General features: G+C 47.0%; 2 annotated features.

Annotated features, from left to right (window-relative positions):
* Nucleotides 7,257-7,994: an enhancer, noted in NCBI's record as "OCT4-NANOG-H3K27ac-H3K4me1 hESC enhancer chr1:48679855-48680592 (GRCh37/hg19 assembly coordinates)". NCBI's record gives its function as "activates a minimal SCP1, AML or CMV promoter by ChIP-STARR-seq in naive and primed H9 embryonic stem cells {active_cell/tissue: H9 hESC(naive and primed)}" and the evidence as "EXISTENCE:reporter gene assay evidence [ECO:0000049][PMID:30033119]".
* Nucleotides 12,643-13,322: an enhancer, noted in NCBI's record as "NANOG-H3K27ac hESC enhancer chr1:48674527-48675206 (GRCh37/hg19 assembly coordinates)". NCBI's record gives its function as "activates a minimal SCP1, AML or CMV promoter by ChIP-STARR-seq in naive H9 embryonic stem cells {active_cell/tissue: H9 hESC(naive)}" and the evidence as "EXISTENCE:reporter gene assay evidence [ECO:0000049][PMID:30033119]".

The raw sequence follows: 14,397 nt of genomic DNA, 5'->3' as shown, positions 1-14,397 counted from the left end.
TAGATGTTGCTTTCTCTTTTTATATAGTGTAGGAAACTGAGGCTGGGGAAGACATCATCATTTATTCCAAGGAACTAGGCAGGGCCATCTCTGAAAAGGCAGAGCCAGAATTCACATCTTCTGATGCCTGACCCATACTTCCTATTCTGTACTGTGACAGATGAAATGGTTGTGGTCAGGAGGCCTTCCCTGAAAAAGATACAGTGCTCCCTGGGTCCAGGGAAGACCATCTCTGGGACTCAGGCAGCCTAGATTTCAGTCCCAGCTCCACCTCTCACTGAACTACAGATGCCCTTGGGCAGGTTGCTAAATGTCTCTGGGCCCGGGTGTCCTCATCAGTGTGACCTGTGCCCTGCCTGCCTCACACCACCAATGAGGCTAAGATGTGCTCCTGAGAACCTCTGCAAACCCTGAGCTACTGAATGTTCTTGGGGTTAACACAAAGAAACCAACATCGACCACCATCTAGCCAAGGGGCCCAGATGCCACGCACTTAGATATCTGCTCACATGGTCCTTCCAAAGTAGCTGCATTTGGAATATTTCAGTCTTACAAATATTACTCTGCATGCATCTGCTGTAGGGCCCAGACTGGAGCAGCAGGAAAACAGATCTCACTGGCCCTGTCCCACACCCCATCCCCAGCTCTCACTGGCCCTGTCCCACACCCTATCCCCAGCATCTTATAAGTATCCCAAGGCTGGGTGTGAGGACCAGATCCTCTTTTTTCCCCTTTTGGTGGAAAGAAAAGTGAGAGGCAGGGTCCTAGGCCTTCTCTCCCCAGTTCTCCTATCCCAGAACATCAGGCACTGGCCAGGCTGAGCCCCGAGGAGAGGGATATTGATCTGGGAGAGAGGTCAGCATAGTCCCCAGCTGGACAGGGCTCTGTGGGATCTAGCACCTGTTAGGATTAGATACCAGAGGAAGAGTCCTTCATATACACGTTTAAAGGCAAGTTTATCAGACGAACAGGGATGCAGGAGGGGCAGCATTAGAAACATCAGGAAAATGTGATGGACCAGGTGCCCAGTGGTCCCTGGGGGTGAGCTGGATACAGGGACAGTGGGGAATGAGGCTGGCAGATCTCTGGGTGTTAATCAGGGAGCAGGGAAGGAGTGGTCTGAGCTTAGGCCTCTGAGCACACCATAGTGAGGGCTCTGGATCCGGATGACTCTTCCAGAGATGGGAAAAGGAATGTCGCAGGGAGAAGACAGCTGAGTCTTGTACTTCTTTCTATGCTCCCCACAAGGAGCCCCCTCACCCAGCCCTTGGGGTTTGCTATAGTTTGGATGCTTGTGTTGCTTCCAAAATTCATGTTGAAACTGAATCCCCAATGCAACAGTACTAAGAGGTAGGGCCTTTAGGAGTGATTAGCCCGTGAGGGCTTCTCCCTCATGGGTGGGATCAGTACCTTATAAAAGGGCTAAGGGAACTAGCCAGGCCCTTTTGCCTTTTTACCTTCTGCCATGTGAGGACACAGCCACAAGGTGCCGTCTTGGAGGCATAGACTGGGCCCTCACCAGACACCAAACCTGCTGGGGCTTTGATCTTGGACTTCCAGCCTCCAGAATTGTGAGAAATAAATTCCTGTACTTTATAAATTACCTGGTCTTAGGTGTTTTGCTGTAGCAGTAGGGATGGACTAGGACAGTGTTCTGCTGCCTGCATGCTCTGTCTTCCCATCTACCTCACAGATACATGAGGCTGACCCCCAAACCCTGCACACTTACCTAATCCAAAACTAGCAGGTTTGGGTTTATAGTAGCCTCTCCTCGAATGCATCTAAGACTTATCTGTAAGCTAACCAGGCACATTAGCAGCCCAGAGACCAACAGAGCATGAGGAAGGGAGCAAAAAAGGCTTTGAAACAGCCAGAATAGACATTCTAAAACTCATGCCCAAAACCTAAATCTTTGACTTATCAGTGAGCCTTGTGACCCCACTCAGAGACTGTTTATTTTTGTTTTAGCCAGAGTCTTGTTATTCATATCCCAACTCACAACAAATTAGAAGAGAGGGGGCAAAGCTACACAGGGACAGCAAGGAGAATGGCAGCTGATGGGTTGATGGTGCATGAGAGGTCATTAAACCTGGAAAGACCAGGAAAGACAATGTAAAAGATGACTAAATCGGGGCAAACAGACCTATAAAACTGGGTAGATCAACTCTCAACAAAGGGCATTCTTGAGTAGCAGCCAAGATTCACACACATACGGATGACCCAGAGTCATCAAGGAAAGGTGACTGTGGTCATTATGAGTTTTCTATTTAGAAGGCATGGAGTATGAAACCCAGGCAGGAAGAGTTTCATGCAAAATGGTCAAACATTTTAGGCAGGTGTTGGCATTCAAAGCTGAGGCCTCAATTATCCAGAATATTCTCTCAGAGAGCTTCCGAGAGTGAAGGATGTCCTCATGCTGTCAGTCCTACATGAAGTGAGGCCTGTCCTATCCCTGACCCTGTTCAGGGAGCACACATGTCTTTAGTTGTTCATGCCTTGTGGGGAATACAGACAGTCAAAAGACAGGTGCTTTTGACACAAAATAGGTCACTTTTGTCCACCCCTTTCTTCCTTTTAGCTGGATAGCCCAGAGGAAGGATCAATGAAGTCCTTTGTTGGAGAGACTGAGAAAGCTTTATGGGAAGGGGAATGGTTTCAGCCATGCATAAAAAAGTATAGAAATATAACAGGCCAATAAATGGAAGTTGCCACTGAGGCACAAAGACATACTACACATAAGAAGAACAAAGTTGGAGGTTTCATGCATCCTGATTTCAAAACTCACTACAAAGCTACAGTAGTGAAAGCAGTGTGGTAGTGGCATAAAGACAATCATATAAACCAATGGAATAGAACAGAGAGCCCAGAAATAAAGTCTCACAGTTACAGTCAAATGATTCTTGACAAGAGTGTGAAGACCACTCAGTGGAAAAATGACAGCATTTTCAACAAATGATGCTGAGAAAATGGAATATTCCTATGCCAAAGAAAGAAGTTGGACCCTTACATTGCACCATATATGAAAATTAACTCAAGATGGATTGAAGACTTAAATGCAAGAGCTAAGAAAATAAAGCTCTTAGAAGAAAACATAGGGTAAAATCTTCATGTTGTTGGACTTGGAGATAATTTCTTGGTGATGATGCCAAAATCACAGGCAATAAAGGAAAAAATAAATAAACTGAACTTCGTCAAAATTAAAAACTTCTGAGCATCAAAGGACACTATCAACAGAGTGAAAAGGCAACCGATGGAATGGGAGAAAATATTTACAAATCATACATCTGATAAGGGATTAGTACCTATAATATATGAAGAATTCCAGTAAATCAACACAAATGAAACTAACAATCCTACTCAAAAATAAGCAAAGGAGTTGAATAGACAATTCTCCAAAGAAGTTATACAGGTGGCCAAAATGCATATGAAAAGATGTTCAACACCACTAATCATTTATCATTGTGATACAATATCACTTTGTACCCATTTGGATGACTATTATCAATAAAACAGAAAATAACAAGTGTTGGTGAGGATGTGGAGACAGTGGAAACCTTGTGCATCACGGGTAGAAATATAGGATGGTGCAGCCTGCATGGAAAACAGTATGGTAGTTCCTCAAAAGATTAAAAATAGAGTTACTATGACCTAGCAATTTCACTTTTGGGCATATATCCAAAAGAATTGAAAACAGAGATTCAAAGAAATATTTGTACACCCATGTTCATAACAGCATTAATTTTAATGGCCAAAAGATGCAAACAACCCAAATGTCCATCAACAAATGAAGGGATAAACAAAATGTAGTCAAAACATTTAATGGAATATCATTCAGCCTTATAAGGAATTCAGGGCTGACACATACTACAACAGAGATGAACCTTGACATTATGCTGAATGAAAGAGAATTTTTGAGTGGCAAGAAACAAATACATAAGAAAAGAAATAGAGAGTTTACTAGATTAAAAGCTCACATTGAAACCCTCACCTCTCATAAGCAACAGTCCTTGATCATTGATGCCCAGTCTTGCTGCCTTTTTTCCTTAGAGCCTATAGCTAGGGCTGTCATAATAAGGACCACAAACTGGGTGACTTAAGCAACAGAAACAACATTCTTGGCTGCCATTCAAGAATGCCCTTTGTTGAGAGCTGATCTACCCTATATGAATGGAACCATATAGCATTTGTCTTTGACCCAAATGCTGTATGGTTCCATTCATATAGGGTGCCTAGAGTCGTCAAAATCATAGACACAGAAGGTAGAATAGTGGCTGCCAGGGTTTGGTGGAGGAGGGCTTAGGAGTTATTGTTTAATGGGTACAAAGTTTCAATTTGAGAAGATGAGAAGAGTTATGGAGATAGATGGTGGTAATGATTGCTCAACACAGTGAGTGTACTTAATATTACTGAATTCTATTCTGAAAAATGGTAAGTTATACATTATATATATTTAACCACAATAAAATGTATAGGAAAAAAAGACATAGTATACATACAAATTACAAAATAAAGAGCAGATTTGTAAAGGAAATACTAAGAACTGAATTTGCAATTCCAAATACTCTATAAGGGGGATACAAAAAGATTTTGTAAACATTTATTTAGACAAATCTTTGTTGCATTTTCCTAATGATGGGGGAAGGGGTTTGGGGCAAGCAGCCTTGAGCTTGCCCCTTGCCCCAAGTGTAGTTTCGGGTTCAGGAGCGTTGGCAGGGAAACGTGGAGAGCTGGGAGGCATACCCCTCAGTTGGGGCACTGTGGACCAGGGTCGGACTCAAGTCAAAAATACATAAAGGGCAAGAGCCTCTGGCTTCCTCGCTGCTTCTCACTCACTTCCTTCCCACTTGAGAACTGTTAAGTCTGGCGTCCAGGAGCTGTGGTTCGAGGAGGGAGGAGGAGTTGTAGGGAGCAGGAATGTTTTGACTTGAGTAGGATGCTCCTAAGAAGGCTCTGGCTCTTGGGCCTGAACAGCAGAAGGCTGACTCTTCTCTGTGGATGTCCTGGTGGAGTATGCAGGTGGGGGTAGTTGGGAGTAGTTGGTTTGGGATTGGCCTGCCCCCTAGGGGTTGGGCAAAGATTGTGGGAGTGTTTCTTTAGCATGTGTTTATGTGAACTAGATGTGGGCCACGTACATGAAAAAGATAGTGTTGAGATCTTCCATCCTGTTCCATATGCTCCCTAGGGGGATTGGGTCCTCAGCTGACAGGATCTGGAAGTGAACTGCTGGAAGTGTGGAGGCTGTGGAAGAACTGAAGTGGCCCACGGCTTAGGGATGCAGTGCTTAGTGAAGAGTGCACAGGGAAGGTTCCCAGGCTGGGGGAATCCTTCATACTCTACCAGGGCATCCACAGGGAAGATGCCTTATGCTTGATCCAGGCCCATGAGCCCGAGCCTTGGTAAAAGCATCCTACTAAAGGCAGAACTTCCCTGCTCCCTGCAACTCCTCCTCCCTCTTCAAACGGCTGCTCCCAGGGGTCAGACTTAGCAGTTCTCGAGTGGGGAGGAAGAGAGTGAGAAACATGACAAGCTGGATACATTCCCTTTTCCCAAGGTAGGCAGGCCCTGCAGCAGCCCTAGCTGGGGGTGGGACCTGCAGGGAGGAGAAGTCTTATGTTTGCATGAAGACTGAAGTGTTGCATAATCTATGGCCTTGGGCATTACAATATCCAAATTGAGACTGTGTTTTCAGACTCAAAGTGATAGCAGGGATTTCTATGGCTTAATTGTAACCAGAAGACAAGGGAAGGATTATACCCATTGAACAAGTTGCTTAAGTCAGTTGATTAAGAAAATTGCTTTTAGGATTACGTGCCCTGAGTCCAGTTTACTCCATCTACAGTTCACAGTAAGTGGAGGGTCAGGCCCCTACTTATAGATCCATAGCTCCTGTCTCCCATAGGCTTTAGGCTGTGCCCTCACTGAAGATTCTGGAAACCAGAGTCTTGCTTGGAATCTCAGAGCCAGCTAATCCCACCAGCTTCACAGCCTTGTCTTCCGACCACACTTATGTATGAGTTTCTGTGCAAAGCTCAACTCTCTCATCTTCCTGCCCTCATGGGGCTGTGTTTGCCCTGCCCCATCCAGCTTCCCATTGCCCCTCCTTCTCCATGCTGCAGGGCCCATGTAAACCAACACCTCTCTGTTCTCAAGCTTTCCATCGGCTGACTGTCCACCAACTGTCATGGTGACTAGGTTGTCCTGCAGGCACCTTCTTCCTTGGCAGCTTCTCCCAAAGAGGCTCTTCCCTCTCCATGCCCCCTGGGGTTTGGGTCAGAATTCTCCTGTGCTTCCTGGCTGCTCAACTGAACTCCATGCAGTTCCTAGAGGGGCACACCCTCCCTCACCTTCAGCTCTCTGAGCGCTGTTTCCTCAGAAGCACGGACTCCTAGCCTGGGAAAATCCACAGCCCCAGTGTACTCCCCATTTATCTCTCTGAATGTGATTATTGACTTGGGGTGCATCTGCCTTAGATGTGAGCCCCTTGAGGGTGGGGACCTTGGTATCTTACTTGTGTTTATGCCTACAGTGACTGGAGCAAGTCAGTGAATGTAGGTGGTGACTGGCGTTTCAGAAAATCCCTCTTGGGGCCAGCATGGGGGTGGATAAGAAGGAGGCAGCTGATGCAGTACTTTAGGCAGAGATGGGTGCTGAGCTGAGTGGGTGGAGAGGAGTGTCCTGGCTGTTCTTACTGAACTGGAAGCATGCAGACCTGTGTGGCTTCCCCCCCAATTCTTCCCACCTGGGGTCCTGCCCCCACCCCTTAGTGCTCCTTCTCCTCACTCAGCTCCCATTTCCTATGAGTGCTCACTGAGTGCCTGCAGCCCTGAGTGAGGAACAGCCCTGAGTTTGTTCCACTCCCAAAGGGACTGACATTGTTTCTAGGCTAGGTCAGTTGGGAAGCCTTTGGCTGAGGAAATGCAGCACTGTGGCAAGTCCTGGAGCATAGAGCATTATGGGCTGAGGATACCAAATGGTCTTCAGCCTGGAACCCTCGAGCTGCCCCACGGAATCACAATATTACATACAGAAAATAAGCCCCTTTTATGCGGCTGCCTGGGTGTTTCTCTGTCTCCTTCCAGCATTCCCCACCCCAAGGAAAATCCTGGGCATGTTCCATGTGCCTCTGGCTGGCTTCCACCCTGGGCACTGCAAGTTCTTCCTGAAAAACCACTCTCAGCCAGTCTTCCTGCTGACAACTTCCCTTGCCAGAACAGTGAGGGGTAAGGAGGCTGATGATTACCCGTTTGTGCCAGAATTATCAGGTAGGTCACATCCCAAATATGATCTACATTGTTTTACTAACTCTGTGAGCTGGCTTTATGAATCCCATTTTTAGGTGAGGAAATGAGGCTTATTGTCAGGCCTCTGAGCCTAAGCTAAGCCATCATATCCCCTGTGACCTGCACGTACACATCCAGATGGCCTGTTCCTGCCTTAACTGATGACATTCCACCACAAAAGAAGTGAAAATGGCCCGTTCCTGCCTTAACTGATGACATTGTCTTGTGAAATTCCTTCTCCTTGCTCATCCTGGCTCAAAAGCCCCCCTGCTGAGCACCTTGTGACCTCCACTCTGCCCGCCAGAGAACAATCCCCCTTTGACTGTAATTTCCTTTATCTACCTAAATTCTATAAAACGGCCCCACCCTTATCTCCCTTAGCTGACTCTCTTTTCGGACTCAGCCCACCTGCACCCAGGTGAAATAAACAGCTTTATTGCTCACACAAAGCCTGTTTGGTAGTCTCTTCACACAGATGCGAGTGAAATTTGGTGCCGTGACTCAGATCTGGGGACCTCCCTTAGGAGATCAATCCCCTGTCCTCCTGCTCTTTGCTCCGTGAGAAAGGTCCACCTACGACCTCAGGTCCTCAGACCGACCAGCCCAAGAAACATCTCACCAATTTCAAATCCAGTAAGCGGCCTCTTTTTACTTTCTTCTCCAACCTCCGTCACTATCCCTTAACCTCTTTCTCCTTTCAATCTTGGCGCCACACTTCAATCTCTCCCTTCTCTTAATTTCAATTCCTTTCATTTTCTGGTAGAGACAAAGGAGACATTTTATCCGTGGACCCAAAACTCCGCCGCCGGTCACAGACTGGGAAGGCAGCCTTCCCTTGGTGTTTAATCATTGCAGGGAAGCCTCTCTGATTATTCACCCACGTTTCAGAGGTGTCAGACCATGCAAGGACTCCTGCCTTGGTCCTTCACCCTTAGTGGCAAGTCCCGCTTTTCTGGGGGAGGGGCAAGTACCCCAACCCCTTCTCTCTTTGTCTCTACCCCTTCTCCGCTTTTCTGGAGGAGGGGCAAGAACCCCTCAACCCCTTCTCCTTCACCCTTATAGGCAAGTCCCGCTTTTCTAGGGGGCAAGAATCCCCAATCCCTTATTTCTGTGCCCTGACCTCTTATCTCTGCACCCCGATCCCTTATTTCCCTGCTCTGACCTCATATCTCTGCACCCCGATCCCTTATTTCCCTGCTCTGACCTCATATCTCTGTGCCCTGATCCCTTATTTCCGTGCCCCAACCTCTTGTATCTCTGCACCCTGATCCCTTATTTCCACACCCCGACCTCATATCTCTGCGTGCCGACCCCTTTCCCGCTTTTCTGGAAGGTAAGAACCCCTGAACCACTTCCCTCCATATCTCTACTCTCCCTTTTCTTTAAACTTGCCTCCTTCACTATAGGCAACCTTCCACCCTCCAGTCCTCCTTCTTCTCCCTTAGCCTGTGTTCTTAAGAACATAAAACCTCTTCAATTCTCGCCTAACCTAAAACCTAAATGCCTTCTTTTCTTCTACAATGCCGCTTGACCCCAATACAAATTCGACAGTAGTTCTAAATAGCCAGAAAACGGCACTTTCGATTTCTCCATCCTACAAGACCTAAATAATTTTTGTCGAAAAATAGGCAAATTGTCTGAGGTGCCTGACGTTCAGGCATTCTTTTACACATTGGTCCCTCCCTAGTCTCTGTGCCCAGTGCACAGATTATTATTTGGGACGATTATTATCATCCCAAATCTTCCTTCTTTCCCTCCCACCTGTCCCCTCAGTCCCAACCCCAAGCGTCACTGAGTCTTTCCAATCTTCCTTTTCTACAGACCCATCTGACCTCTCCCCACCTCCCCAGGCTGCTCCTTGCCAGGCCAAGCTAGGTCCCAGTTCTTCCTCAGCCTCCGCTCCTCCACCCTAAAATCTTTTTATCACCTCCCCTCCTCACACCTGGTCCGGTTTACATTCCGGAGTAGCCCTCCCCGACCTGCCCAGCAATTTCCTCCTAAAAAGGTGGCTGAAGCTAAAGGCATAGTCGAAGTTAATGCTCCTTTTTCTTTATCAGACCTCTCCCAAATCAGTAAGTGTTTAGGCTCTTTCATCAAATATGAAAAACCCAGCCCAGTTCATGGCTCATTTGGCAGCAACCCTGAGACGCTTTACAGCCCTAGACCCTAAAAGGTCAAAAGACCGTCTTATTCTCAATATACATTTTATTACCCAATCTACTCCCGACATTAAATAAAACTCCAAAAATTAAATTCCGGCCCTCAAACCCCACAACAGGATTTAATTAACCTTGCCTTCAAGGTGTAAAATAATAGAAAAAAGTTGCAATTCCTTGCCTCCACTGTGAGACAAACCCCAGCCACATCTCCAGCACACAAGAACTTCCAAACGCCTAAACCGCAGCGGCCAGGCATTCCTCTAGAACTGCCTCCCCCAGGAGCTTGCTACAAGTGCTAGAAACCTGGCCACCAGGCCAAGGAATGCCCACAGCCCAGGATTTGTCCTAAGCCGTGTCCCATCTGTGCAGGACCCCACTGGAAATCGGATGGAAATCGGACTGTTCAACTCACCTGGCAGCCACTCCCAGAGCCCCTGGAACTCTGGCCCAGGGCTCTGTGACTGACTCCTTCCCAGATCTTCCTGGCTTAGTGGCTGAAGACTGACGCTGCCCGATCACCTCGGACGCCTGGTATTCCATCACGGACGCCGAGCTTTAGGTAACTCTCACAGTGGAGGGTAAGTCCGTCCCCTTCTTAATCAATACAGAGGCTACCCACTCCACATTACCTTCTTTTCAAGGGCCTGTTTCTCTTGCCTCCATAACTGTTGTGTGTATTGATGGCCAGGCTTCTAAACCTCTTAAAACTCCCCAACTCTGGTGCCAACTTAGACAATACTCTTTTAAGCACTCCTTTTTAGTTATCCCCACCTGCCCAGTTCCCTTATTAGGCCGAGACACTTTAAATTATCTGCTTCCCTGACTATTCCTGGGCTACAGCCACACCTCATTGCCGCCTTTCCCCTCAGTTCAAAGCCTCCTTCACATCCTCCCCTTGTATCTCCCCACCTTAACCCACAAGTATAAGACACCTCTACTCCCTCCTTAGCGACCGATCATGCACCCCTTACCATCCCATTAAAACCTAATCACTCTTACCCCGCTCAATGCCAATATCCCATCCCACAGCATGCTTTGAAAGGATTAAAACCTGTTATCACTCGCCTGTTACAGCATGGCCTTTTAAAGCCTATAAACTCTTCTTACCATTCCCCCATTTTACCTGTCCTAAAACCAGACAAGGCTTACAGGTTAGTTCAGAATCTGCGCATTATCAACCAAATTGTTTTGCCTATCCACCCCATGGTGCCAAACCCATATACTCTCTAATCCTCAATACCTCCCTCTACAACCCATTATTCTGTTCTGGATCTCAAACATGCTTTCTTTACTATTCCTTTGCACCCTTCATCCCAGCCTCTCTTTGCTTTCACTTAGACTGACCCTGACACCTATTAGGCTCAGCAAATTACCTGGGCTGTACTGCCGCAAGGCTTCACAGACAGCCCCCATTACTTCAGTCAAGCCCAAATTTCATCCTCATCTGTTACCTATCTCGGCATAATTATCATTAAAACACAAGGGCTCTCCCTGCTGATCATGTCTGATTAATCTCCCAAACCTCAATTCCTTACAAAACAACAACTCCTTTCCTTCCTAGGCATGGTTAATGCAGTCAGAATTCTTACACAAGAGCCAGGACCGCACCCTGTCGCCTTTCTGTCCAAACAACTTGACCTTACTGTTTTAGCCTAGCCCTCATGTCTCCATGCAGTGGCTGCTGCCACCCTAATACTTTTAGAGGCCCTCAATATCACAAACTATGCTCAACTCACTCTTTACATTTCTCGTAACTTCCAAAATCTATTTTCTTCCTCATACCTGACGCATGTACTTTCTGCTCCCTGGCTCCTTCAGCTGTACTCACTCTTTGTTAAGTCCCACAATTACCATTTTTCCTGGCCCAGACTTCAATCCGGCCTCCCACATTATTCCTGATACCACACCTGACCTCCATGACTGTATCTCTCTGATCCACCTGACATTCACCCCATTTCCCCATATTTCCTTCTTTCCTGTTCCTCACCCTGATCACGCTTGATTTATTGATGGCAGTTCCACCAGGCCTAATCGCCACACACCAGCAAAGGCAGGCTATGCTATAGTACAAGCCACTAGCCTGCTTCTCAGAACCTCTCATTTCCTTTCCATCGTGGAAATCTATCCTATCAAGGAAATAACTTCTCAGTGTTCCATCTGCTATTCTACTACTCCGCAGGGATTATTCAGGCCCCCTCCCTTCCCTACACATCAAGCTCAAGGATTTGCCCCCACCAAGGACTGGCAAATTGGCTTTACTCAACATGCTCCAAGTCAGAAAACTAAAATACCTCTTAGTCTAGGTAGACACTTTCACTGGATAGGTACAGGCCTTTCCTACAGGGTCTGAGAAGGCCACCACAGTCATTCTTCCCTTCTGTCAGACATAATTCCTCAGTTTAGCCTTCCCACCTCTATACAGTCTGATAACAGACCAGCCTTTATTAGTCAAATCAGCCAAGCATTTTTTCAGGCTCTTAGTATTCACTGAAACCTTTATATCCCTTACAGTCCTCAGTCTTCAGGAAAAGTAGAACAGACTAATGGTATTTTAAAACCACACCTCACCAAGCTCAGCCACCAACTTAAAAAGTACTGGACAATACTTTTACCACTTTCCCTTCTCAGAAGTCAGACCTGTCCTCAGAATGCTACAAGGTACGGCCCATTTAAGCTCCTGTATAGACGCTCCTTTTTATTAGGCCCCAGTCTCATTCCAGACACCAGACCAACTTAGACTGTGCCCCCAAAAAACTTGTCATCCCTACTATCTTCTGTCTAGTCATACTCCTATTCACCGTTCTCAACTACTCATACATGCCCTGCTCTTGTTTACACTGCTGGTTTATACTGTTTCTCCAAGCCATCACAGCTGATACCTCCTGGTGCTATCCCCAAAGTGCCACTCTTAACTCTTGAAGTAAATAAATAATCTTTGCTGGCAGGACTCTGCTGAATCTCCTTAGGCACTCTCTGATCAGATGTCCTAGGTCCTCCCAATTCTTAGACCTTTTATACCTGTTTTTCTCCTTCTGTTATTCCATTTAGTTTTTCAATTCATACAAAACTGTATCCAGGCCATCACCAATAATTCTACATGACAAATGTTTCTTCTAACAACCCCACAGTATCACCCCTTACCACAAAATCTTCCTTCAGCTTAATCTCTCCCACTCTTAAGTTCCCACGCCGCCCCAATCCCGCTCAAAGCAGCCCTGAGAAACATCGCCCATTATCTCTCCATACCACCCCCAAAAATTTTCACTGTCCCAACACTTCACCACTATTTCATTTTATTTTTCTTATTAATATAAGAAGACAGGAATGTCAGGCCTCTGAGCCCAAGCTAAGCCTTCATATCCCCTGTGACCTGCATGTACACATCCAGATGGCCTGTTCCTGCCTTAACTGATGATATTCCACCACAAAAGAAGTGAAAATGGCCTGTTCCTGCCTTAACTGATGACACTGTCTTGTGAAATTCCTTCTCCTGGCTCATCCTGGCTCAAAAGCTCCCCTACTGAGCACCTTGTGACCCCCACTCTGCCCGCAAGAGAACAACCCCCCTTTGACTGTAATTTTCCTTTATCTACCCAAATCCTATAAAACGGCCCCATCCTTATCTCCCTTAGCTGACTCTCTTTTCGGACTCAGCCCACCTGCACCCAGGTGAAATAAACAGCTTTATTGCTCACACAAAGCCTGTTTGGTAGTCTCTTCACACAGATGCGAGTGAAATTTATTGGCTGATTTCCACTGCTTGTTTGGGTTGTCTGACTCTGAAAGCTGTGCTGCACCACCATCCCTTCCCTCCAGGGCAGAGGGCATGGAAGGGGCATCCCTCCTGGTGGTGGGTGGACAGTGGCTCTGTTTTGCCCCTCCGCATGGGAGCTCTGAGTGATACAGGAGCTAGAAAGAAATTATTTAGGCAGATAGAAAGGGCACCAGGGTCCTTGCGGATTTCCCTTTTAACAAAAAGCAGCCCCCAAATCATCTCTTTTCTAACAAAGAGCAGTCTGAAAAATTGAGCTGCAAACATAGATAAGCAAGCTGGAAACTTGCACGGGTGAATGCTGGCAGCTGTGCCAATGGAAAAGGGCTACCTGGAAGCCAGGTATGTTCAACATGGAGGCTCCACCTTCCCTTTTCTTTGTCACGACATGTACATTAAAGAACAAGGTAACATGGCTCCGGCCAGGGAGAACCCACCTGCATAAGAAAAGATTAGGGTGGGGCGGTCAGCCTCTTCCACACTATGCAAATGACGCACCTCATCCGACCAATCTTTTGTGCCCTATGTAAATCAGACACTGTCTCCTCAAGCCCATCTACAAAATCTGCATTTCACCACGGAGGCGGCAACCCATTTTCTCCACGACCCCCATGCACAGAGAGCTCTTCTCTTTCTTTAGCCTATTTAACTTCCACTCTTAACCTAACTCTGGGGGGTCCGCGTCCTAGATTTCCGTGGCCATGACACAACGAATCTTGGGTATTTACCCCAGACAACAATGCCACTTCATGAGAGGGCACAAAGATGTCTGGACTGGGGATAGGGGTTTCCACTGGGTCTGGGCCCCAGTTCCAGAGGCCGTGCCAGGCCCTCCTCTGCCAGCTGTCCCTCACTTATCCCTCCTTTCCTGCCCCCCTCTAGCCCTCATTTCTTAAGGCTTAGTGATGCTATTTTTTTCCCACATGCCTATGCTCAGCTCAGTTCATGCACAAATGCAATTCCATTGATTAATCTCAGCCACTCACGGAGCACATTCTGTGCCAGGCCCTGTGTCAGGCTGTCCCACTGCACAACTCCAGGGAGCACCATTACCCAAGAATACAGTACCAGTGATGCCCCTGGCATTGTGGAAACAGTGCCTCTGCTCTCTGCACTGGGTACAGGGGGAGAAGAAGCTCACGGGGTCCTTGCAGACCATGAGAGGTGCTCTCTGTCTTCACAGTAT

The sequence above is a fragment of the Homo sapiens genome, chromosome 1 (genome assembly GCF_000001405.40).
Source record: "Homo sapiens chromosome 1, GRCh38.p14 Primary Assembly".
NCBI classification, from domain to species: Eukaryota; Metazoa; Chordata; class Mammalia; order Primates; family Hominidae; genus Homo; species Homo sapiens.
This window is presented reverse-complemented; position numbering and strand designations above follow the sequence as displayed.